Source organism: Homo sapiens, chromosome 11 (genome assembly GCF_000001405.40).
Source record: "Homo sapiens chromosome 11, GRCh38.p14 Primary Assembly".
Classification (NCBI taxonomy): domain Eukaryota; kingdom Metazoa; phylum Chordata; class Mammalia; order Primates; family Hominidae; genus Homo; species Homo sapiens.
In genome coordinates, this window is record NC_000011.10 from 73,908,708 (window position 1) to 73,931,825 (window position 23,118).

The 23,118-nt window shown below is 42.4% G+C and overlaps 1 protein-coding gene and 1 pseudogene across 8 annotated transcripts in view, besides 2 other annotated features; one reads left to right on the forward strand and one right to left on the reverse strand.

Annotated features, from left to right (window-relative positions):
* PAAF1 (proteasomal ATPase associated factor 1) overlaps positions 1-22,407 on the forward strand; it is a 54,416-nt gene extending 32,009 nt beyond the window's left edge. For 6 of the 8 annotated variants that reach the window (NM_001267806.2, NM_001267803.2, NM_001267804.2 and 3 more), the window contains 6 exons: positions 692-886; positions 5,706-5,797; positions 7,838-7,953; positions 10,243-10,325; positions 15,908-15,990; positions 18,578-22,407. In NM_001267806.2, the coding sequence (NP_001254735.1) occupies positions 692-886; positions 5,706-5,797; positions 7,838-7,953; positions 10,243-10,325; positions 15,908-15,990; positions 18,578-18,655 (647 nt within the window). In that variant the 3' untranslated portion in view covers positions 18,656-22,407. Of the gene's footprint in view, positions 1-691; positions 887-5,705; positions 5,798-7,837; positions 7,954-10,242; positions 10,326-10,553; positions 10,699-15,907; positions 15,994-18,577 lie in introns of those variants that run through there. The other 2 variants (XR_007062508.1, XM_047427639.1) reach the window with 2 other exon arrangements.
* Positions 11,805-12,017: a silencer, noted in NCBI's record as "fragment chr11:73631557-73631769 (GRCh37/hg19 assembly coordinates)". NCBI's record gives its function as "represses an EF-1alpha promoter that drives an FKBP-Casp9 reporter gene in an ReSE screen in K562 erythroleukemia cells {active_cell/tissue: K562}" and the evidence as "EXISTENCE:reporter gene assay evidence [ECO:0000049][PMID:32094911]".
* On the reverse strand, positions 12,690-13,520 carry ARPC3P4 (actin related protein 2/3 complex subunit 3 pseudogene 4; annotated as a pseudogene).
* Positions 17,695-18,194: an enhancer, noted in NCBI's record as "H3K4me1 hESC enhancer chr11:73637447-73637946 (GRCh37/hg19 assembly coordinates)". NCBI's record gives its function as "activates a minimal SCP1, AML or CMV promoter by ChIP-STARR-seq in primed H9 embryonic stem cells {active_cell/tissue: H9 hESC(primed)}" and the evidence as "EXISTENCE:reporter gene assay evidence [ECO:0000049][PMID:30033119]".
* Positions 22,408-23,118: the final 711 nt, after the last annotated feature.

The window sequence follows — 23,118 nt, forward strand, 5'->3', positions numbered from 1 at the left end:
ATTTTCAAACTGAATTAGCTTAGGTGTCAACTTTTTTTTCCTCCAAAGTTCTTGTTAAGGTGTCTACTTAATTTTTATTTTTTATTTATTTATTTATTTTTTGAGACGGAGTCTCCTCTGTTGAAGGCTGGAGTGCAGTGGCGTGATCTCGGGTCACTGCAACCTACGCCTCCCAGGTTCGAGCGATTCTCCTGCCTCAGCCTCCTGTTTAGCTGGGATTACAGGCATGTGTCACCACGCCTGGCTATTTTGTATTTTTAGTAAAGACAGGGTTTCATCATGTTAGCTAGGCTGGTCTTGAACTGCTGAGCTCAGGCAATCCACCTGCCTCGGCCTCCCAAAGTGCTGGGATTACAGGTGTGAGCCACCACGCCCGACCTCTTAATTTTTCTTTTTAAAAAAGAGTTTTGAAGACAAAATAAAAAACTTGAACATGATTTCTCTAGCACACTCCACTAAAAATTAAATCCAGTACTTGTTTTTCCATGCCTGTCTTTCACAGCTAGACTTTGATTCATTGGGAAGCTGGGACTCTATTTCTGTTTTTCTAGCACTTGAACATGGCCAGCATGTGGTACCTGTTCAGAACATGTTTGTGAAGGGATGGAGTCATTTATGCAGCTCCATCTTCTCTGCCCTTGTAGTTCCTTTACTCCATCCTCCATCTTAGGGAGTTTTTTTCTCTTGCTAGGTATCCTGGATACAGCCATCGTTGATCGGGGGAGGAATGTGGTGTCTGCTTCTCGAGATGGGACAGCACGACTTTGGGATTGTGGGCGCTCAGCCTGCTTGGGAGTCCTTGCAGATTGTGGTTCTTCTATCAATGGAGTGGCGGTGGGTGCTGCTGACAACTCCATAAACCTTGGCTCCCCTGAGCAGATGCCCAGTAAGTTGATAATGATATGTAGCATTGTTTTATTTTCTTAGGCCCCCTTCAGTGATTGCCTTAGTTTCTCCTTTTCTTCCTCATCCTTTTCTGCTCTGTGCCTGGTATTTCTGTTTTCACCATACGATTAATATTTACTCTGTACCTACTATGTTTCTATTACTTTGGAATCTACAAAGGAAGTATATGTCATAGCACTGCGTTTCAGTAAGTACAATCTAATGTAGAAGATGAGATAAATGCCTATAAAGCAGGGGTGTCCGATCTTTTGGCTTCCCTGGGCCACATTGGAAGACTTGTCTTGGGCCACACATAAAATACACAACATTGATGATAGCTGAGCTAAAAATAAATAAATCTCATAATATTTTAAGAAAGTTTATGAATTTGTGTTGGGCCTCATTCAGAGCCACCCTGGGCTGCAGGTTGGACAAGCTTGCTTTAAAACATTTAGAGAACAGTAACATTTGGCTGAAATAATTAGTGATTCTTTTTATTTATTTTATTCTTTTAGCGATAGAGTCCTGCTGTTTTGCCCAGGCTGGCATTGAACTCCTGGGCTCAAGTGATGCTCCCACCACAGCCTCCCTAATAGCTGGGACTACAGGCCTGCACCACCATGCCTGGCAAATTAGCAAGTCCTAATGCAAATATAATAGGTTTTCAGAGGGACGGAGTGTTCCCGGTTAGTATAGATAGGAAAGATGTCACAAAAGAAGTTGGCTTGAACCTTTAGAGGATAAGTTGAAGTTGAACAGACAGTAATTGTAAGGATAGGACAATGGGAGCTAGGGCAAGGGGTAGGTGTAGGGGCAGTTTGCATTATAGCTTGGACGTGAAACTAAGTGTTATATAAAAAGATATGTTTGACTGGGCTAGAAAGTTGAATTAAGAGGGGTAGTAGTAGGAAATGGGTTGAATAGCTGTGGTGAGAGACTAATAAAGGTCCTAATAAGGCAACTTTCCTTCTTATTTTCCCATAATAATAGTTGCATCTCTGTTCCATAGGACAATGTTTTTTCTACTGTTGTCTTAGCCCCTCACATTTTAAAAAATAGCCCTTATTTTTTAGGGCCATTTTAGGCTCACAGCAAAATTTAGCAGAAAGTACAGGGGACCAGGTGCAGTGGCTCACGCCTGTAATCCCAGCACTTTGGGAGGCCGAGGCGGGCGATTCACAAGGTCAGGAGCTCGAAACCAGTCTGGCCAACATAGTGAAACCCCATCTCTACTAAAAATACAAAAAATTAGTTGGGTGTGGTAGTGTGTGCATGTAATCCCAGCTACTCGGGAGGCTAAGGCAGGAGAATCGTGTGAACCTGGGAGGAGGAAGTTGCAGTGAGCTGAGATCGCTCCATTGCACTCCAGCCCAGGCGACAGTGTGAGACTCTGTCTCAAAAAAAAAAAAAAAAAAAAAAGTACAGGGAGTTCTTATATACCTTTTGCCTTACCCACTCACACATAGCCCTCCTCACTATCAATATCCCCCACCAGAGTGGTACATTTATTACAGCTGATGAACCTACGTGACACATTATTGTCACCCAAAGTTCAGAGTTTACATTAGGGCTTACTCTTGGTGTTATATATCCTATAGGGTCTGACAAGTGTACAGTGACATGTATTTACCATTGCAGTATCATACATAGTAGTTTCTTAGCCCTAATAATCCTCTGTACTCTGTTCAAGCAGTTCTCCTGCCTCTCACCCTCTCGAGTAGCTAGGACTCTAGGCATGCACCACTACACCTAGCTACTTTTTTTTATTTTTGTAGAGACAGGGTCTCACTATGTTGCCCAGGCTGGTGTTGAACTCATGGCCTCAAGTGATTCTCCCATCTTAGCCTCCCAAAGTGCTAGGATTACAAGCATGAGCCACAGCTCCTGGCCCTAAAGTAATTTAAATGAGAATATTTTTTCTTGTTTTCTGTAATTTTTCATTTCCCATTTACTCTTCAACCCATTCTAGGATGGTTTGTGCCCAAGTACTTGACTGAAATGGCTGTTGTTAAAGTCACCAGTGACCTTCCTTTTTTTTTTTTTTTTTTTGAGATGGAGTCTCACTCTGTTGCCCAGGCTGGAGTGCAGTGGTGCGATCTCTTGGCTCACTGCAGCCTCCACCTCCCAGGTTCAAGTGTTCGAGTGATTCTTGTGCCTCAGCCTCCCGAGTAGCTGGGATTACGGGTGCCCACCACCATGCCTGGCTAATTTTTGTATTTGTAGTACAGATGAGGTTTCACCATGTTGGCCAGGCTGGTCATGAACTTCTGGCCTCAAGTGATCCACCCTCCTAAGCCTCCCAAAGTGCTGGGCTTACAGGTGTGAGCTATGGGCCCCAGCCACCAGTGACCTTCTTCTTGCCTAATCCACCTTGTTTCTCTGTGCTTGTCTTTCTGAATTCAGTGGTATTTCACATAGTAAACCCTCTCCTCAAAAAACTTTTTTTTTTCATGGCTTCTGTGATACCACATAACACTGGTTTTCTTCCTATTTCATTGACTGCTACTTCTTAAAGGTCTCCTTTTATGAAACTCCTCTCTTCTACCTTTAAATACTAGAGGGCCCCACTATTAAGTTCTGGGCCCTCAGCTATAACTACAGTTTCTTCCTTTGTGACCTCATCTGTTCTATAGCTATCATTCCAAAGTTCATGTAAAGCATAGACCTTTCACCTGAGTTTCAGACTCTATTTCGATGTCTAATAAATAAGTTGAACTTACCTTGTCTAACAAGGAGTGTTTGATCCCTCCCCACCCCAAACTGTTTTTTTCCATCTCAGAAGATGGCACCGCTATCTACCCATTTGCTCAAGCCCAAAGCCTGAGATTCACTCACAGTCCACCCTCTCTTTCCTCATGTCCCACATCAGCAAAGTCTATCATCTCTAACTTCAAAGTGTTTCTAATTTTTCTATTTCTCCCTCTCCCTCCCCCTCTCTCCCTTCCTCCTGTCAACATCTGGTCCAAACTATCATCATCTATTGCCTGTACTACTGCCTAGACTATTCTCCTATAAGCCATTCTTTTCAGAGCAATCTTGTGGTCATTTAAGAAAATCATAAGTCATGTCACATTCCTGCTTAAAACTCTCCAGTGGCCTCCCTTTATAAATATGTTGAAATCCTAACCCCTTAGCATGGTTTACAACAAGCTCTTATACTTTCTGACCCCTACACTTCTCTCCAGTCTCATGTCATACCACCCTCTGCCATGTTCACTACATTTCAGCCACAGGCCTTCAGTTTCTTCTTTCAGTACAGTAGACTCTCCCAGTCTCCTGGACTTTGCCTTCTTTTTTTTAAATTGAGATGGAGTTTCCCTCTTTTGCCAGGCTGAATGCAGTGGCACGTTCTCGGCTCACTGCAACCTCCACCTCCTAGGTTCAAGCAATTCTCCCGCCTCAGCCTCCCGAGTAACTGGGATTACAGGCGTGCACTACCATGCCTGGCTATTTTTTGTATTTTTAGTAGAGATGGGGTTTTGCCATGTTGGCCAGGCTGGTCTTAAACTCTTCACCTCAAGTGATCTACCTGCCTTGGGCTCCCAAAATTCTGGGATTACAGGCGTGAGCCACCGCACCTGGCCTGACTTTGCCTTCTTTTTCCCTTGGTCTGGAATATACTCCTGCAGGTCTTCACATGACTGGTTTCTGTTCACCATTCAGGTCTTGCCATTCAGTTGAAAAGTGACTTCCACAGAGGCTTTTTAAAGTTAAAGTTTAGGCTGGACGTGGTAGCTCACGCCCATAATCCCAGCACTTTGGGAGGCTGAGGTGGGCGAATTGCTCGAGCCCAGGAGTTCAAGACTAGCCTGGGCAATATAGTGAGATCCCATCTCTATAAAAAATATTTTAAAAAATAAATAAAGTTGAAGTTTACATTTAAAGTTACCCTCCCCATCTAGCCTTCCACCATCTATTCACTTCTGATCTTATTTTCCTATTTTATTTTATTTTAGAACTCATCACTTTCTGAAAGTATCCTACTTGTTTATTTACCTATTCACTAGAATCCTTGAGAGTGAGGACCTTATCTGTTTGTTCATCACTATTTCCTTAGCAGTTAGAATAGTGTGTGATGTCATCACATAGAAGATGAGGGTAAAAAAAGAAAAAAAAAAAGAAAAAAAGAATAGTGCCTGATACATAGTAGGCCCTAAAGAAATATTTGGTGAGTAAATGAATAAATTTCATTTTCTCTAGGCTGTAAGATCTTTGAGGTCAGAGACTGTTTTTTGCAGTATTGTATCCCAACTCCTAGTGTGGTGTCTTATCATGGTACAAACAACTTAATATTTTAAAAGTTGGGCTTATTGCCAGCCATGGTGTGCACACCTGTAGTCCCAGCTACTCAGGAGGCTGAGGTGGGAGGATTGCTTGCACCCAGGGATTCAAGACTGTGGGGTGCTATGTTTGTGCTTGTGAATGGCCCCTGCACTCCAGCCTGGACAACATACTAGACTCTGTCTCAAAAAAAAGTACACACACACACAGGCACATTTTAAAAATAAATTTGGATTTACTGAGGTATCTTTTACATATGGTAAAAGTCACCCTTTTCCTTGGCTACTGGATACCATTAAAAAACATTTTTAAAATGTAAAAGTAAAGTCAGTATTTTTAATTGTATAGTTCTGTGAGTTTTGACAAATATATCCAGTTGTATAAATAATACCACAGTGAGATACAGAACATAATAAATGTTTTCTTTGTAATAAGTGAATCGCTAACAAAATCAGTAATCAACCATCAGTATTGGTGCTGTGTGGGCACTACCAGCTGATCAGCCTCACTGTTATTAACATAGTTTATTTGTCATGCAGGTGAACGGGAGGTTGGAACAGAGGCCAAAATGCTGCTCTTGGCCCGGGAAGATAAGAAACTTCAGTGCTTGGGACTACAGAGCAGGCAGCTGGCAAGTGGTTCCTATATGACCTTTGAACTCTGAGGCAACCTGGGTCACTCTGTGTCTTAGAAAGCTATTTTGGAAACATTTCTACTTGCTCCCTGTGTTCACTTTTGAGAAGGCTGCGTGAGTAAGAGGCAGTACAGTGTAATGATTAAGAGTTGTGGGATTTGGAATAAGGGCAACATTTAAATCCCAGTTCTTTTTTTTTTTTTTTTTTGGAGACAGAGTCTCACTCTGTCGCCCAGGTTGGATGGAGTGCAGTGGCGCAATCTCGGTTCAGCTCACTGCAACCTCCACCTCCTAGGTTCAAGTGATTCTCCTGCATCAGCCTCCTGAGTAGCTGGGATTACAAGCCCACCACCATGCCTGGCTAATTTTTGTATTTTCAGTAGAGACGGGGTTTCACCATGTTGGCCAGACTAGTCTCAAACTCCTGACTCAAGTGATCCGCCTGCCTCAATCTCCCAAAGTACTGGGAGTACAGATGTGAGCCACTGAGCCCAGCCCTGAATCCCAGTTCTTGTGCAGCACTTGCAGAGAATAAAAAAATAAAATAAATCTCAGTTCTTCTATTAATACTTAATGGTTCCAGCATTGGACAAGTTACTTAACCTCTCTGAGCCTGCTTCCTCATCACTAAACTGGTCATAATAGGGTATGTGATGAGGATTAAATGGTCTACTGTTTTGTGATCTTTGTTAAGTCACTTTCCCTCTCTGGACCTTAGTGTGCTATATGTAAAATGATGAAGTTGTATAGATTTTCTTTATGAGTCCTGCTACCTCTAAGGTAATGTGAAAAAATTCTGAGTAAAGAACTCACGCCCACTGGGCATAGTGGCTCATGCCTGTAATCCCAGCTTTCTGGGAGGCCCAGAAAGGGTGGATTGCTTGAGTCCAGGAGTTCGAGACTGGCCTGGGCAAAAAAACCCATCTCTATTAAAAATACAAAAAATTGGCTGGGCATGGTGGCATGCACCTGTAATCCCAGCTACAGCTACTTGGGAGGCTGAGGTGGGAATATCACCTTAGCCTGGAAGGTCGAGGCTGCAGTGAGCCAAGATTGCGCCACTGTACTCCAGCCTGGGGAACAAGAGTGAGACCCTGTCTCAAAAAAGGGACTCATGCATTCAGGACTCTTGATCAATTAATGAACAGACCATTAGTTGAAGTTTCTTCCTACATCCTCTGAATTTTTGCTGGGCAGATTATGTTCTTAACTAAATTCTCTCTTCCCAGAGATTAGATTTTTAAAATTTCCTTCTAGCTCCTGTGATCGTCATCCAGACAACTTTAGTGATTTGATTTGGCCACAGGGTTTGCTGTTTTCATTTCATCTTGTTACTCCACTGTGCTGGTGATATTTCCATTTTCAAAGTTTGTTTCAGGAACATTACCATTTTTGCTAATATCGCCTTTGTACTTGAGTTTCCATGCTGGCTTTTACTTCCAGAGGGAAATCAGGTTTTTTTGTTTGTTTATTTTGTTTTTTGCCTTTTCTTTTTAGTATGTTTGGGGAAGACATGATCAGTTTGAGCTAACAGTAAGGAGAAAATAAAACTATAATAATTTTTTTTTTCAGATTCATGGGGAGAATTGTGATTCTTTACATTGCTACTTTATTTAAGCCTGTTCATTTTCCTACAAAATACCCTCCTTCAAAAGGTTGAAGTGACATGGAGCAAAACTTACATGTGGGAATTGCAAGTGTTTCTCAGAAAGTTGTCATGAAAAAGGGGCAAAGAAGGAATTTTGGTGGTGAGGATCCTGTGAGACAGTGTGTTGAGTGGTAGTAGTTGGAAAACTGCTACTTCAGAGTATATTATATAACCTGCTCAAGTCCTTAGTCAACCCCAGGTTCCTGAAATCCTGGGAGTACTTCCTTCTCAGTTTTTGGTGAATGTGTAATTTACCATTTGAGAATAATTAAAGGGGGAAGGAAGAAAATATCTCAAAATATAGTGAAATTTTTCCTTTTTTGGTGCCTGTTTATTCTTGGAAACAAATTAATCTTTAAACAGCATTTTTGCCTCCTACTTGTTCCCAGGTGTTCCTCTTTATTGGCTCAGACGCTTTCAACTGCTGTACTTTTCTCTCTGGCTTCTTGCTATTGGCTGGGACTCAAGATGGAAACATTTATCAGCTGGATGTGAGGAGTCCAAGGTGAGTCACCATTCATTTACATGATGCAGGTCTTCTGCAGAGTGGAAATTTTTATTGGCTTTAACATTGATTTAGCCTAGCATATAGATAACTATTGAATCAAGGGTATATTTTTCCATTTACAAAGGTTTTCCAGTCTGAATTTTCTGATTTTTCTTATTATTCCTGGACTCATATTAAAATATATGATTCATACCATTATGATTGTCTGACTAATGATTGCTTTGAAAATTAAGCTTAAATATAAACTAACATTTCATTTAAATTGATTGTCTAGAACTTTTAATTTTAAAGAGCTCAGTAATTTTCTCTTACATTAGACCCTGGCTACCCTAAGATTGAAAGATTGAATTATTTTTATTTATTTATTTATTTTTTGAGATGGAGTCTCCCTCTGTCGCCCAGGCTGGAGTGCAGTGGTGCTATCTCGGCTTACTGCAACCTTTGCCTCCCGGGTTCAAGCAATTCTCCTGCCTCAGCCTCCTGAGTAGCTGGGATTACAGGTGCGCGCTACCACACCCAGCTAATTTTTGTATATTTAGTAGAGACAGGGTTTCATCATGTTGGTCAGGCTGATCTCGAATTCCTGACCTCGTGATCTGCCCGCCTCAGCCTCCGAAAGTGCTGGGATTACAGGCATGAGCCACTGTACCCAGCCCTGAATGATCATTTTTAGTTCAAGGAACCCAGCTCTGTTAGTTATGTAGTTTTGATCATGACCTTTCTAAACAGGCTTTTCTTTGGCCTTAAAGATATCCAAAGAGAATCACACAATCTCTCTGTTGCAGGATTTAACAATTTCTACAATTTTGTCCCTTCCTCCTTTGATTTCCTTCCTTTTTTCAACTGATATTTATTGAAAATAGCTTCTGTGGGCATCAGGCTTGGTTCAAGGCACTGAAAACCAGAAATAAAAGGTACAGGCTCTGGGCTGGGCGTGGTGGCTCACGCCTGTAACCCCAGCACTTTGGAAGGTCAAGGTGGGTGGATCACCTGAGGTCAGGAGTTCAAGACCAGCCTGGCCAACATGGCGAAACCCTGTCTCTACTAAAAATACAAAAATTAGCTGGGCATGGTGGCACGTACCTATAATCCCAGGTACTGGGGGGCTGAGGCAGGAGGATCGCTTGAACCTGGGAAGTGGAGGTTGCAGTGAGCTGAGATCGTGCCACTGGACTCCAGCCTGGGCAACAGAGCGAGACTCTATCTCAAAAAAAAAAAAAAAAAGATACAGACTCTGCCTTTGAGGCACCTGGAGTCTAATGGTAAAGATGGACAAGTAAAAGACTGTTGTGCAGTGTGATCACTTGTCTGACAGGGCTAGCTACAGAAATCTAAGGAAGCACCAAAAAGGAGAGGGAAGGAGGTGAGACTGCTTCTCCAAGGAAATGAGAAACATTGGGTCTTGTTGAGTAGGACGTTGCCAAGTAAAGAAGGAGGAAAAGAGCTGGCCTCGGTAGAATCCCATGTATAGAATCCCATATATGAAGGCATGTGAAGGGGATTGTTTTCAGGAGTCTATGACAGGTATGTTCCCTGCATATGAGGGCAGTGGTGAGAAGTGATACCAGCAGGAAAACAGGAGCTGCTCTGACCTTACCTGCCATTCTAAGTTTATTCCAAGAGTAGGGAATAAATTCCAGTAGATGGTGACTAGCTTATACCTTTTCTTCCATCATTTCAGTTACTTAATTTTTTTTTTTTTTTTTTTTTTTTTTTTTTTGCCTCCACAGAGATAGGGAATCTCTGATCACTATTATAAAGTCACACTTACATATATATTAAATTGATTCTCACTCAGCTTTCTCTTTCTTTTTTTTTTTTATTTTTTTTTGAGATGGAGTCTTGCTCTGTAGCCCAGGTTGGAGTGCAGTGGCGCGATCTCGGCTCACTGCAAGCTCCACCTCCCGGGTTCCCGCCATTCTCCTGCCTCAGCCTCTTTCTTTTTAGAGTCCTGACAATTTTAATATTTTACAACAAATCTTAATTCTTTTGTTAAGTGAAAAGTTTAACATACTGCTAATATTGTTATCTTCAACCCATGTCATACCTACCTTAAAAACTCAGGATTTGGGTGGTGACTTAGTTCATGTTTAGAGACATGGATGGTTTTTGAATTACCTTAATCTGCCAGTTAAGGTTCTTGCCAGGAAAGAAACCATAGAAATGTTTAATCTTTCTTCACATTTTATCCTGTTTGCTCTTATGTGGTTAGTACTATATGTTGAATATAGTCAAGTATTGCTTTTGAAGAAAGAAAGTAAAATTTCCCCTTTCTCTGAATCCTAGGGCTCCGGTACAAGTCATCCACAGATCAGGAGCACCAGTTCTATCCCTGCTAAGTGTCAGAGATGGATTCATTGCTAGCCAAGGTGGGTCCATGGGCCAATTGAGAGAGATGCTTCTCTGTAGTTCAGTTAATTAAACATAGTTTTAAGTGTCTGATCTATGGCTGGGTTGGGGCATGGTCCCCCATGATTCTTTGGCATATTGTACCTATCAATAGTGTTTATCACTCTACGTTGTGATTGTCTGTGTCCCCCTCCAGTTCAAACTCCTTGAGGGTGGTGACTGTGCCTTATTCATTGTGTTATTCCCAGAATTTAGCTCAATGCCCACCACTCTTCTGCCTTAAAGGAGCTCACAGTAAGGCAGACAGACGTGTGAACATTTGATTGCAGTCCAGTTTGATAAGGACTACATCAGAAGACTGCATGAGGAAATGAAGAATAGCTAATTCTAGAGGTAGGAGTGCTGTCAGCAAGGTCTTCGTGAACTACGTGACATGTAAACTGATAAAGATTTCACCCACTGGAGATGTAAAGAGGGACACTGAAAGCTGAAGCTATTGTATATGCAAAGTCATAGATGAGGCAAGCGGGGGCAAAAGAAGAAGAGCACTAGCATTTCCAGAGGGCCTGCTATGTAGTAGGTACTGTGTTTGATGCTTTACATACATATTCTAGGTAAAGCGAGTATCTTAATGTAGCCAGGACAAACTCTTTGGAATGGAGTTCAGGAATGGTGTTGGGGAAATGCCTGGAGCAAAGTGTACATTAAGGGACACTGGATCCTTGTAGGAATGATGTAGGTCAGGAGGACTGGACTATACAGCCTGGAGGGACTACCTACCTACCTTGAGCATTTCAGTATGTCAGTTAGGATGTTTTGGGCTGTTATTTACAGAACACCCAGCTGAATATGGTTTAAACAGTTAGGAAAGGATACTGCTTCACTTAACAAGAAGTCCAGAGTCCATTTCAGATTATATTAATTTAGTGATTTGAAAATAAAGTCAACCAAAGAGACTAAGGAAACTTGACAACTAAGTCAGTGGTATTCTGGATTGGATCCAGGATGTTAAGGAAAGACTGGTGAAAAAAAAAAAGCATGCTGTTTAGGTGGTAGTAGTGTACCAATATTGGCATCTTAGTTTTGACAAATGTAAGGTGATAACATTTGGGAAAACCTGAAACTGATTAAGGGCATATGGGAACCTTCTGTATTATCTTTAACTAACTTTTCTGTAAACCTAAAGTCACTCCAAAATATAATATTTTTTATATATTTTTTTAATTTAAAAAACAAGTAGGCTGGGCACAGTGGCTCATGCCTATAATCCCAGCATTTTGGGAGGCTGAGGCGGGAGGATCACTTGAGCCCAGGAGTTTGAGGTCAGCCTGGGCAACATAGGAGACCCTGTCTCTACAAAAAATAAAAATTAGCCAGGCATGGTGGTTCATTTCTGTGGTCCCAGCTACTCAGGAGGCTGAGGTGGGAGGATCACTTGAATCTAGGAGGTGAGGCTGCAGTGAGCCATGATTGTGCCACTGCATTTCACCCTGGGTGACAAAGCGAGACTCTGTCTCAAAAATAATTTTTTCAATTAAAAAAATATTAAAAAGATAGTGACTGGGCGTGGTGGCTCACACCTGTAATCCCAGCACTTTGGGAAGCTGAAGCGGGTGGATTCCTTGAGGTCAGGAATTTGAGACTACCCTGGCCAACATGGTGAAACGCTGTCTCTACTAAAAATACAGAAATTAGCTGGCATGGTGGCACACATCTATAGTCCCAACTACTCAGGAGGCTGAGGGAAGAGAATCACTTGAACCTGGGAGGTGGAGGATGCAGTAAGCTGAGAGCACGCCACTGCACTCCAGCCTGGGTGACAGAGTGAGACTCTGTCTCAAAAAAAAAAAAAAATTAAAAATTAAAAAATAAGGTTGGGTGTAGTGGCTCACGCCTGTAATCCCAGCACTTTGGGAGGCCAAGGCGGATAGATCACCTGAGGCCTTGATATTTCTCGCCTCCTCTGTCCTATCTACAGGCCATTTTACTGATTATTAACATCTCTGGCTGGGTGCAGTGGCTCACATCTGTTATCCCAGCACTTTGGGAGGTCAAGGCGGGTGGATCAGCTGAGGTCAGGAGTTTAAGACCAGCCTGGCCAACATAGCGAAACGCCATCTCTACTAAAAATACCAATATTAGCTAGGCATGGTGGTGTGCACCTGTAATCCCAGCTACTTGGGAGGCTGAGGCAGGAGAATCACTTGAACCTGGGAGGTGGAGGTTGCAGTGAGCCAAGATTGTACCACCGCACTCCAGCCTCAGCGACAGAGTGAGACTGCCTCGCAAAAAAAAAAAAAAATCTCTGTTGCAAGGTGATGTGTGGGTTATATGAGGAGTGTAGGTGGAGAAGAGCTGACTCATGGTTCTACTTTTTGTACTTTTTTTTTTTGGAATGTTAGAAATTTCTTTATTATTACTTATTCTTACTAAGCGCCAGCTTAATGCTGCAGAAAATTTCAAATCACTGTTGATAACCCACTTTCTTTTCTCCCACCCAAATTCTTGATCAAGAGTTTTTCAAGTAAAGACATGGTCTTCTCTCTTCTGTATAAAACTTTATGAAATAAAGGCAAAAGATTCGTATATCTTGCTGGAAAATGCTGCCCAGGGCTCTGGAGATGGTGGCTGCCCGTGCTCCTTTCACTGTCCAGGTCTTGAAAGACTCTAGCATGAACTGTCTCTTCACAAAACAAGTCCACCACTTGCAGCGTTTATCATTCTGAGGGTCGAAAACTTTCTCACAAAGTCTCAGCCCAGTCTCTTGCCTTAGATGTTGTAAATAGGCCCTCATCACTTCATCTTCCTGTTTGTTTGCAGGTTTGGGATACATTGCATTAAGTGGAAAACCAGGTTCTCCAGGAATGGGAAAGTTAGTGATTCCCAGTGTATACATTTCTTTCTCACCTTGGCTTTTGGAATTGCACTTCTGGAGTTCCTTCAGACACTCAGAAACGTAGACAGAGATACGTATATCAAGGTCCTGTCAGCTTCATTCTTAACTTCATAGTTTTTGAAGAAGACATTGGCCTTGAACTAATAGATGGCTTCATCCACAGTATCTGTATCTTTTGTCTCTCTGGGGGCAGGTCCTTTGAATTGACTTCTGATAGGTAACAGTGCCATGTTTCCAATGAGTTCAGTGTCAGGATCCATGAGAGAAGAGTGGTAAGCTGGCATCTTGGTGGCGCCCGGGTTTCAACCCAGAGGAGCAGATTTTTTGTACTTTTCTACTTTTCTGCTGGGAAGAAGGCAAGGCATAACTTCCAGTACTGATGTCTAAAGGCAAAGGGAGTAAGATTATAACTCTGTTTTCAGAGGACAAAACTAAGACCAATAAGAGAAAGTTATCAGAAACCACATTTCAGTTAATTATAAAGGAAAAGCTTTCTTTTCCTTAAGAAAGAAGCTGCCCTTAAGGTAGTGGGCACCCCTAACTCTGGAGATGGGCAAGTGTAGGCTGTTTGGCCGCTCTGCCATGTGCTGTAGAGGGAGTTCTGTACTGGTTTAGAAGTTGGATATAGGCCGGGCACAGTGGCTCACACCTGTAATCCCAGCACTTTCGGAGGCCGAGGCGGGCGGATCACGAGGTCAGGAGATCGAGACCATCCTGGCTAACATGGTGAAACCCCGTCTCTACTAAAAATACAAAAAATTAGCCGGGCATCATGGCGGGCGCCTGTAGTCCCAGCTACTTGGGAGGCTGAGGCAGGAGAATGGCGTGAACCTGGGAAGTGGAGCTTGCAGTGAGCCGAGATCGCGCCACTGCACTCCAGCTTGGGTGACAGAGCGAGACTCCGTCTCAAAAAAAAAAAAAAAAAAAGAAGTTGGATATAGATGATTTTTGAGGTCCTTTGGAACTCTTTGATTATTAGTGAGGAGATTTAAGTTGCCAGATGAAACAAAATAAAAAACAAAATTTTTTGATGCAAATTGCCAAACATATCTAAAAGTAGACAGAATGGCACGATGAACCTGTTATACCCATTATCCAACTTAAGCTATTATCAATATATTGCTAATCTTGTTTTACCCATTCCCTTGCATTCCTCAGTCTTCATATATTTTGAAATATATCATGAGCGTCTTATTTCATCTGTTAGCATTTCTATATGTCTCTCTAAAAGACAAGGATTCATTTTTGGAGAAGGTGATTTTTAATAGTAATGCAAAAAAGGGTAAGGTACTACCTCGTATATGCTGCTGCTTGAATGTAGATTAACAGATAAATTTGGAAAACAGTTGTTCAGATTTCCAAAAAGTTTGAAAAGGTTAATGTCTGCTGATTCTTTTCCAGGTCTTTATATATACAAAGTCATAATCTTAATACAGAAAAAACTTTATGCATAAAGACATTCGTTTATGCACATGCTGTCAACCATGTAAAATAGGCACAAAAAAATAGATCAAAATGTTAACAGTAATTGCCTTTGAATGGTAGATTAGGGGTGATTTTTGTACCTCTGCTTTGTTTAGTTTTAAAGTTTTGTTCAGTGAGCATGTACTACTTCTATTTATTTATGTTTTTATGTATTTATTTTGAGACAGAGTCTCACTCTGTCGCCCAGGCTGGAGTGCAGTGGCACCATCTTGGCTCACTGCAACCTCTGCTTCCCGGGTTCAAGCGATTCTCCTGCCTCAGCCTCCTGAGTATCTGGGATTACAGGCATGCACTACCATGCTCGGCTAATTTTTTTTGTATTTTTACTACTTTTATATTAACAAAAAGAAATCACCTTATTAAGCAGTTTATAGATCACCCCTATGATTCATTTGTTTCATTTGTCCATGCTCTTTTAAGAATTAGATACACTTTTACTTTCTTAGTGTAACTGTCCTCTTTCTCCTAGTGTATACAGTCAAATTTACAGATTGAGGAATAATCTGGGAACATTTTAATAGGGAATATCTACACAAATGTTTCTTTAAAAAATGTTAAAGACATTTTTTAGACATTCCCTATTAAATATAATCTAGGATAAGTTTATAAATACACACACACACACACACACACACCTGTGGTTGCTTGCTCTGTGCCTTTGGCAGGCATTGCTAATCAAAGACATCTCTTTTTCCCACAGAACTTGCACTTGCTCTTCAAATCCAGCCCAGCTCAGCATTCTAGGCAGCCACTATAGATCATCATAATTGGCCCACATAGGCCGGGTATGGTGGCTCACGCTTGTAATCCCAGCACCTTGGGAGGCTGAGGCAGGTGGATCACCTGAGGTCAGGAGTTTGAGACCAGCCTGGCCAACATGGTGAAACCCCGTCTCTACAAAAATTAGCCAGGCGTGGTGGTGGGCACCTGTAATCCCAGCTGCTTGGGAGGCTGAGGCAGGAGAATTGCTTGAACCTGGGAGGTGGAGGTTGCAGTTTGCTGAGATCATGCCATTGTACTCTAGCCTGGGCAAAAAGAACGAAACTCTGTCTCAAAAAACAAAAAAAAAGTTGGCCCACGTAATAAGATCTATTTGCCATTCTGGGTCTTTGGACCATCTTCTTTACACTAGTGATCTACAGAAGCAAATAAAAATACTGAGTTTTTAAACTCTGGATGCAGTTTTCTCTTAGTTATATGAATTTTCTTTCTGCCTTTCAGGTGATGGAAGCTGTTTTATTGTCCAGCAAGACTTAGACTATGTCACTGAGCTCACTGGGGCTGACTGTGACCCTGTGTACAAGGTACAGGCCTGAGACGACACCAGACCTGGGTGATTCTCATGAGAGATCTAGGGCTTTTATGAGACTGAATCCAGATACCTTGTGGTCATTAGGGATGATAAAATAGTGCTTATTGTATAAGCAGTGTGGTAGGATGGCAAGAAATCAAGAGCTTAACTCAGAAGTGATTTCTGGGCCAGGCATGGTGGCTCACGCCTGTAATCCCAGTACTTTGGGAGGCCGAGACAGGTGGATCACTTGAGGTCAGGAGTTCAAGACCAGCCTGGCCAGCATGGTGAAACCCCGTCTCTACTAAAAATACAAAAAAATTAGCTGGGCGTGGTGGTACATGCCTGTAGTTCCAGTTACTTGGGAGGCTGAGGCAGGAGAATCGCTTGAACCTGGGAGGTGGAGGCTGCAGTGAGCCTCAAGATCGTACCACTACACTCCAGCCTGGGCAACAGAGTGAGACTCCATCTCAAAAAAAAAAAAAAAAAAACAAGTGACTTCTGGCTGACAGCTGTAACCCCAGCACTTTTGGAGGCTGAAGCAGGTGGATCACTTGAGCCCAGGAGTTTGAAACCAGCCTAGGCAATAAGATGAGACCCCCGTCTCTACAAAAAATACAGAAAAATTAGCTGGGCATGGTGGCACACACACCTGTAGTCCCAGCTACTCATTTGGGAGGCCAAGATGGGACGATTGCTTGGGCCTGGGAAGTTGAGGCTGCAGTGAGCTGTGATTGTACCATTGCACTCTAGTCTGGGCAACAGAGTGAGACCCTGTCTCAAAAAAAAAAAAAAAAAGTGACTTCATCACTTACTAGCTCTAGAAACTTAAAAACTTACTTTACCTCACTAGTCTGTCAATTCATCTGTAAAGATAGTAATCTGAAAACTCTTTGTAAATACATTCTATAAATATTATTCATTCTTATTATTATTAAGACTTCTAGACTGATTTTTTCATTTGATTCAAATAGAGAAAAACAAAAGGGGAATATTTATTGACCAGACACTGTGCTGAACGTTTTATATACGTTATCTCATGTAATCTTTGTTACTATTTGTTGAGGTGTAGGTATTACTATTCCTATTTTTTCCTATAATTTAAAAAAAGTTGTACAATTAATATCTGTAAAAGTTCAAACAATACAGAATGATACAGATTTAAAAGTCTCCTTTACGACCTTTTTGGTTCCCTTTCTCTTTTCCAGAAGTAACTAGCATTAAAAGTTTGGCACATATTTTTCAAGACTATTTTCAGAGAATTTGCACACTTACATCTTTATGTATTAATGTAAATAATATACTTTTATCTTCAGTTTGTACGTAATTGAGACTATCTCTATATATTGCCCTGTGACTTTTTTTTAATTACCATCTTAGAGCTGTTTCCAGGTAAATGCATATAGATCTATTTCTTTCTTTCTTTCTTTCTTTTTTTTGAGATGGAGTTTCGCTCTTGTTGCCCAGGCTGGAGTGCAATGGCGCGATCTCAGCCCACAGCAACCTCCGCCTCCCAGGTTCAAGCGATTCTCCTGCCTCAGCCTCTCGAGCAGCTGGGATTACAGGCATGCGCCACCACACCCGGCTAATTTTGTATTTTTAGTAGAGACGAGGTTTCTCCATGTTGGTCAGGCTGGTCTTGAACTCCCGACTGAGGCCTGCCTCAGCCTCCCAAAGTGCTCGGATTACAGGCGTGAGCCACCGCGCCCAGCCATCTATTTCATTTTTAAAAATTCTTGCGTAGTGTTCCGGCCGGGCGTGGTGGCTCATGCCCAGCACTTTGGGAGGCGGAGGGGGTGCGAATCACGAGGTCAGGAGATTGAGACCATCCTGGCCAACACGGTGAAACCCTGTCTCTACTAACAATACAAAAAATTAGCCAGGCGTGGTGGTGGGTGTGTGTAGTCCCAGCTACTTGGGAGGCTGAGGCAGGAGAATGGCGTGAACCCGGGAGGCGGAGCTTGCAGTGAGCCAAGATGGCGTCACTGCACTCCAGCCTGAGCGACGGAGCAAGAGTCTGTCTCAAAAAACAAACAAACAAAATTCTTGTGTAGTGTTCCATATTTTGAATCAACACATTTCCATTGTACAAATGAGGCAACTGGGGCCTGGGGGGTTGAGAAAGTTGCCCTAGGTCATGCAGCTAGTTGGTAGTAAAGCTGAGACTAACTCCAGAATTCATGCTGTTTTCCTTGAGGAGTTGATGAAATCCTCCTCAGAAAAAAAGACACATATTCAGAACATTTTTGCATCCAATTTTATAAGGTTCAAGAATAGTCAAGCCCATCTCTGAACCATCTCCTCCCTAGAGGCAGACCATCTGTGCTAAACCTGAACAATACTAATGGGTTTGCTTTCCACTTGGGCCAATTAGTTTCTCTGTTATATAGTCATGGTGCATCCCAACCATTGGTGATTGGGATGCATCCATCACTATGGGCCAACAATTTTTGTAAGCACATAATTATGGATGTAATTCTGTTGCCTTCATAAAGCCTTCTCAGACTCCATGGGACTAGTGTGTGTCAATCATAAGCCTCCATCTTTTTGAAATGGAAGAATCCCAGGCTTCCTTTGAACTGTGAATTCTTGTGTTTTAGGTAGCCACATGGGAGAAGCAGATCTACACATGCTGTCGAGACGGTCTTGTACGACGCTACCAGCTTTCTGACCTCTGACTTCTTGGAAAGAGCAGTCCCGGTTAGTGAAAAGGTTTGACCCTGATCAACAATGAGCAGAAACATCATCAGTCCTTCCCAAGGACCATGGCGTTTAATGTCTTGGGCACCCCTTGGAAATCACAGAAAGTCAGCTGTACTGGCCGTGTGGAACTCTCATCCCAAGACCTACTTTGAACTGAGTAAGAAGGTCATTGTGCCCACTGCATTTGTTCCAACTTCTCCTTGTATAAACTCACCCCAGCAACACAGGGCAAGGATATAGATGCTTTTAGTTTGTTCTTAAACCAGTTTTGTTAAATGTTTACAAGGACCTCAGTACTAAAGCCTGTTCTCTGGAGGAAATAAAGAAAATATGTTTGGAGGTGCCTGAATATGAAGAACTTTGTTAAATACTCTTACTCCAGCAAAAAGTTGGTCAGGACGATGGAATTCCTTCCTCAGCACTCCCTGTTGCCTGGCCATAGAGAAGGCCTGCTTGGCAGTAGCAATAAATGTCCTGTAAGCTGCCACCTGGGAGAGATTCTTATGCAGGTGGTAACCAACTGTCCCAGTTTGCTTGGAACTAAGGGGTTTTCTGTGACTTGAAACTTTCAATGCCAAAACTGGGGCAGTCTCAAACCAACATGATTGGTCAGCCTATATGTAGGTGAGGAAACTGAATCATAAGCATTGTAAAGGCATTGGCTGTCAAAGTGTGGTTCTTAGAACAGCAGCATCAGTATCACCTGGGAACTTGACAGGAAATAGAAATTGTTAGGCCCAATCCTAGACCTAAATCAGAAATTCTACGGGTGCAGCCAGCAGTCTGTATTTTAACAAGCATTCCAGGTGATTCTGATGTATGCTAAAGCTTGAGAGCCACTGATCTAGAGGAAGAGATGGTGGAGGGCACTTTAGTCACAGCTGGAACCCAGGGCTCAAAATGACAAGATCGGTCTGTAGGAGATGAGGCCACAGAGGTTGGCAGAGCCCAAATAGTGAAGGAGCACGAATGTTAGCTAAGGAGCTCAGACTTTACGTGGTTGGCAGTGGGGAACCACTGAAGGGTTTTAAGCAAGAGAATGGCATGGTCACCTCCTTTTTTCTCTAAACATAAAAATGGAATCATAATGTATGTATTCCATGGCTTATTTTCACTTAATGTCTCTGAGATTTTCCATCTCAGTACATGTAGACGTTCCTCATTCTTTTTTAACAATGTCCAGAATATGGATACCATATTATTTATATTTTTGAGATTATTAGAGAAAAGTTTCTTGAAAGATGTAACACTTGAGCTGGGACATGCAGATTAAGATTTTTATTTATTTAACGGAGGAAGGTCATTTCTGGCTGGGGTAATAATGTTGTTGACAGAGTTCTTTTTTTTGTTTTTTTTGAGACGGAGTCTCGCTCTGTCACCCAGACTGGTGCGATCTTGGCTCACTGCAACCTCCACCTCTCAGGTTCAAACGATTCTCCTGCCTCAGCCTCCCTAGTAGCTGGGACTGCAGGCATGCACCACCATGCCCGGCTAATATTTTTTTTGTATTTTTATTAGAGATGGGGTTTCACCATGTTGGCCAGGCTGGTCTCGAACTCCTGACCTTGTGATCCACCTGCCTTGGCCTCCCAAAGTGCTGGGATTACAGGTGTGAGCCACCGTACCCGGCCGGCCACCAGAGTTTTTAAAGGCGTATTCTCATGTAAATTTTTTTTTTTTAAAGACAGGGTCTTGCTCTGTTGCCCAGGCTGGAATGCGTTGGCATGATTACAGCTTCTGCCTTAACCTCCTGGGCTCAAGCAATCCTCCCACTTCAGCCTCCCAAGTAGCTGAAACCATGGGTGCACACCACCACACTCGGCTAATTTTTTAAATTTTTTGTAGAGACAGAGTCTCACCATGTTGCCCAGGCTGGTCTCAAACTCCTGAACTCAAGTATTCCTCCCACCTTGGCCTCTCATAGTGCTGGCATTACAGGCATGAGCCACGGCACTCAACCAGGAACTTTGTCTTAACTTTAAATCCCATTTTTTTCTACAACACCCTGTTACTTAAACCAAAGTGTAAAAAGAAAATACTGCAATTCATTTAATATCTACTCTGTTCTAGATACTATATTTATATATCTAATTCTTACAAGACTCAAAAAGCGAATGTTATTATTTGTTTTATTCCGATAAGGAAACTGAGACTCAATACATTAAATACCAGAGGCTTCATTTGGACCTTGGACAGCACCTTCTGCTGCACTGTGTAATCACAGGCAGGTAGCAAGAGACTTTTGTGACTAGAGCAATTTCATTTCAAGGTGCAGTTTGTGACAGGGTCAGGTAGACCAGAATGGACATATTCCAGAACTTAGAAACATTAAATCCTAGGAGCTCCAGGTGGAACATCTAAGAAGTCAGATTAAGAAAACAGGATGAGGCTGGGCATGGTGGCTCACGCCTATAATCCCAGCACTTTGGGAGGCCAAGACGGGTGGATCACCTGAGGTCAGGAGTTCGAGACCAGCCTGACCAACATGGAGAAACCCCGTCTCTACTAAAAATACAGAATTAGCCGGGCATGATGGCGCATGTCTGTAATCCCAGCTACTTGGGAGGCTGAGGCAGGAGAATCACTTGATCCCGGGAGGCAGAGGTTGTGGTGGGCTGAGATTGCGCCATTGCGCTCCAGCCTGGGCAACAAGAGTGAAACTCCGTCTCAAAAAAAAAAAAAAAGAAAACAGGATGAAATGGGCCGGGCGCAGTGGCTCACGCCTGTAATCCCAGCACTTTGGGAGGCCGAGGCGGGCGGATCACAAGGTAAGGAGATTGAGACCATCCTGGCTAACACAGTGAAACCCTGTCTACAAAAAATACAAAAAAATTTAGCCAGGCATGGTGGCAGGCACCTATAGTCCCAGCTACTTGGGAGGCTGAGGCAGGAGAATGGTGTGAACCTGGCAGGCAGAGCTTGCAGTAAGCTGAGATCGGGCCACAGCACTCCAGCCTGGGCGACAGAGCGAGGCTCTATCTCAAGAAAAAAAAAAAGAAAAAAAGAAAACAGGAAGAAATGTTGTCATTTATTTGTAGAATCTGAAACATTTGAACTCATAGAAGCAGTGAGTGGAAGAACCAGCGTGGTGGCTCACGCCTGTAATCCCAGCACTTTGGGAGGCTGGGGTGGGTGGATCGCTGGAGCCCAGGAATTGGAGACCAGCCTGCACAACATGAGGAAACTCTGTCTCTACTAAAAATACAAAACTTAGCCAGGTGTGGTGGTGGGCACCTGTAATACCAGCTACTAAGGAGACTGAGGCAGGAGAATTGCTTGAACCCAGGAGGTGGAGGGTGTAGTGAGCTGAGATTGCACCACTGCACTCCAGCTTGGGCAACAGAGCGAGACTCTCTCTCAAAAAAGAAAAAAAAAATATGTATATATATATGTATATATATATATTTATATATGTAGAAGCAGTGAGTAGAATGGTGGTTACAGAGACTCGGGGAGGAGGAATGGGGAAATGATGGTCATAGGGTGCAAAGTCTCAGGAGGAATATATTGTGTTTTGAGATCTATTGCATAGCATGGTAGATTGCTAAGAGTAAATTTCAAATGTTCTCAACCCAAAAAATGTTAAGCATTTGAGGTGATGGATATGTTAACTGGCTTCATTTAATTATTCCATATTGTATTTATAAGTCACAATAGGACTTTGTGGCCCATAATTATAAACAAGTATAAATTGTCCATTTACAATTAAAAATCAATTAAAAGAAAAGAGGATAAGGAGGGATATGGCTGAGTACACACAACACGTGAATGTCTGTGAGTTCTCATTCCAGGGCTCACTCTTCTACATTGCCACCACATTCGTCCGCTCCTTTTCATACGTCTCCAGAGTCGATGTCCTGGTTGTGATATATGCAGTGACCCTTGACAGCTGCTCTGAAATCCAGACCCAAACAGAAGGAAAGGAGACCAGCTCTCAGGTGCTCCATAGCCTTGTCCACTGTGAAAGGAAGGAGCCCCTGCTTTTAGCAGACAAAGCTTTTTCTTTTTTTTCTTTAGGATTAAGGAGTGCATTCTGGGTAAGGAACGGTAGGACACCGACAGCTCTACAGACTCAGTGAACTTCTGTGCTAGATGGTGTTTCTTGGCTTTGGGATGCCCCCTTGTGACTTCTTATGAGAAATAACCTTTCTCTCCAGACCTGAAAAGCTGGCAGCAGCAGCAGCAGCTATTCAGCATGTACTTGGTACCAGGCACAGGCCTCACAATAGGTAGATTTCTTTTCTAAACAATACTCTTTGTGCATATACTTTATGTTCTTTTTCTATTTTAACTTTTATTTTGCCAATAACCTTAAACTTGCAGAAAAATTGCAAAAATAGTACAAAGGATAGGAAACAAACATGAGAAATATTTAAAAATAATAAAAAGAATAAAAAAGAATAGCATCAAGGATTTCAGTACACCCTCACCCGAATCT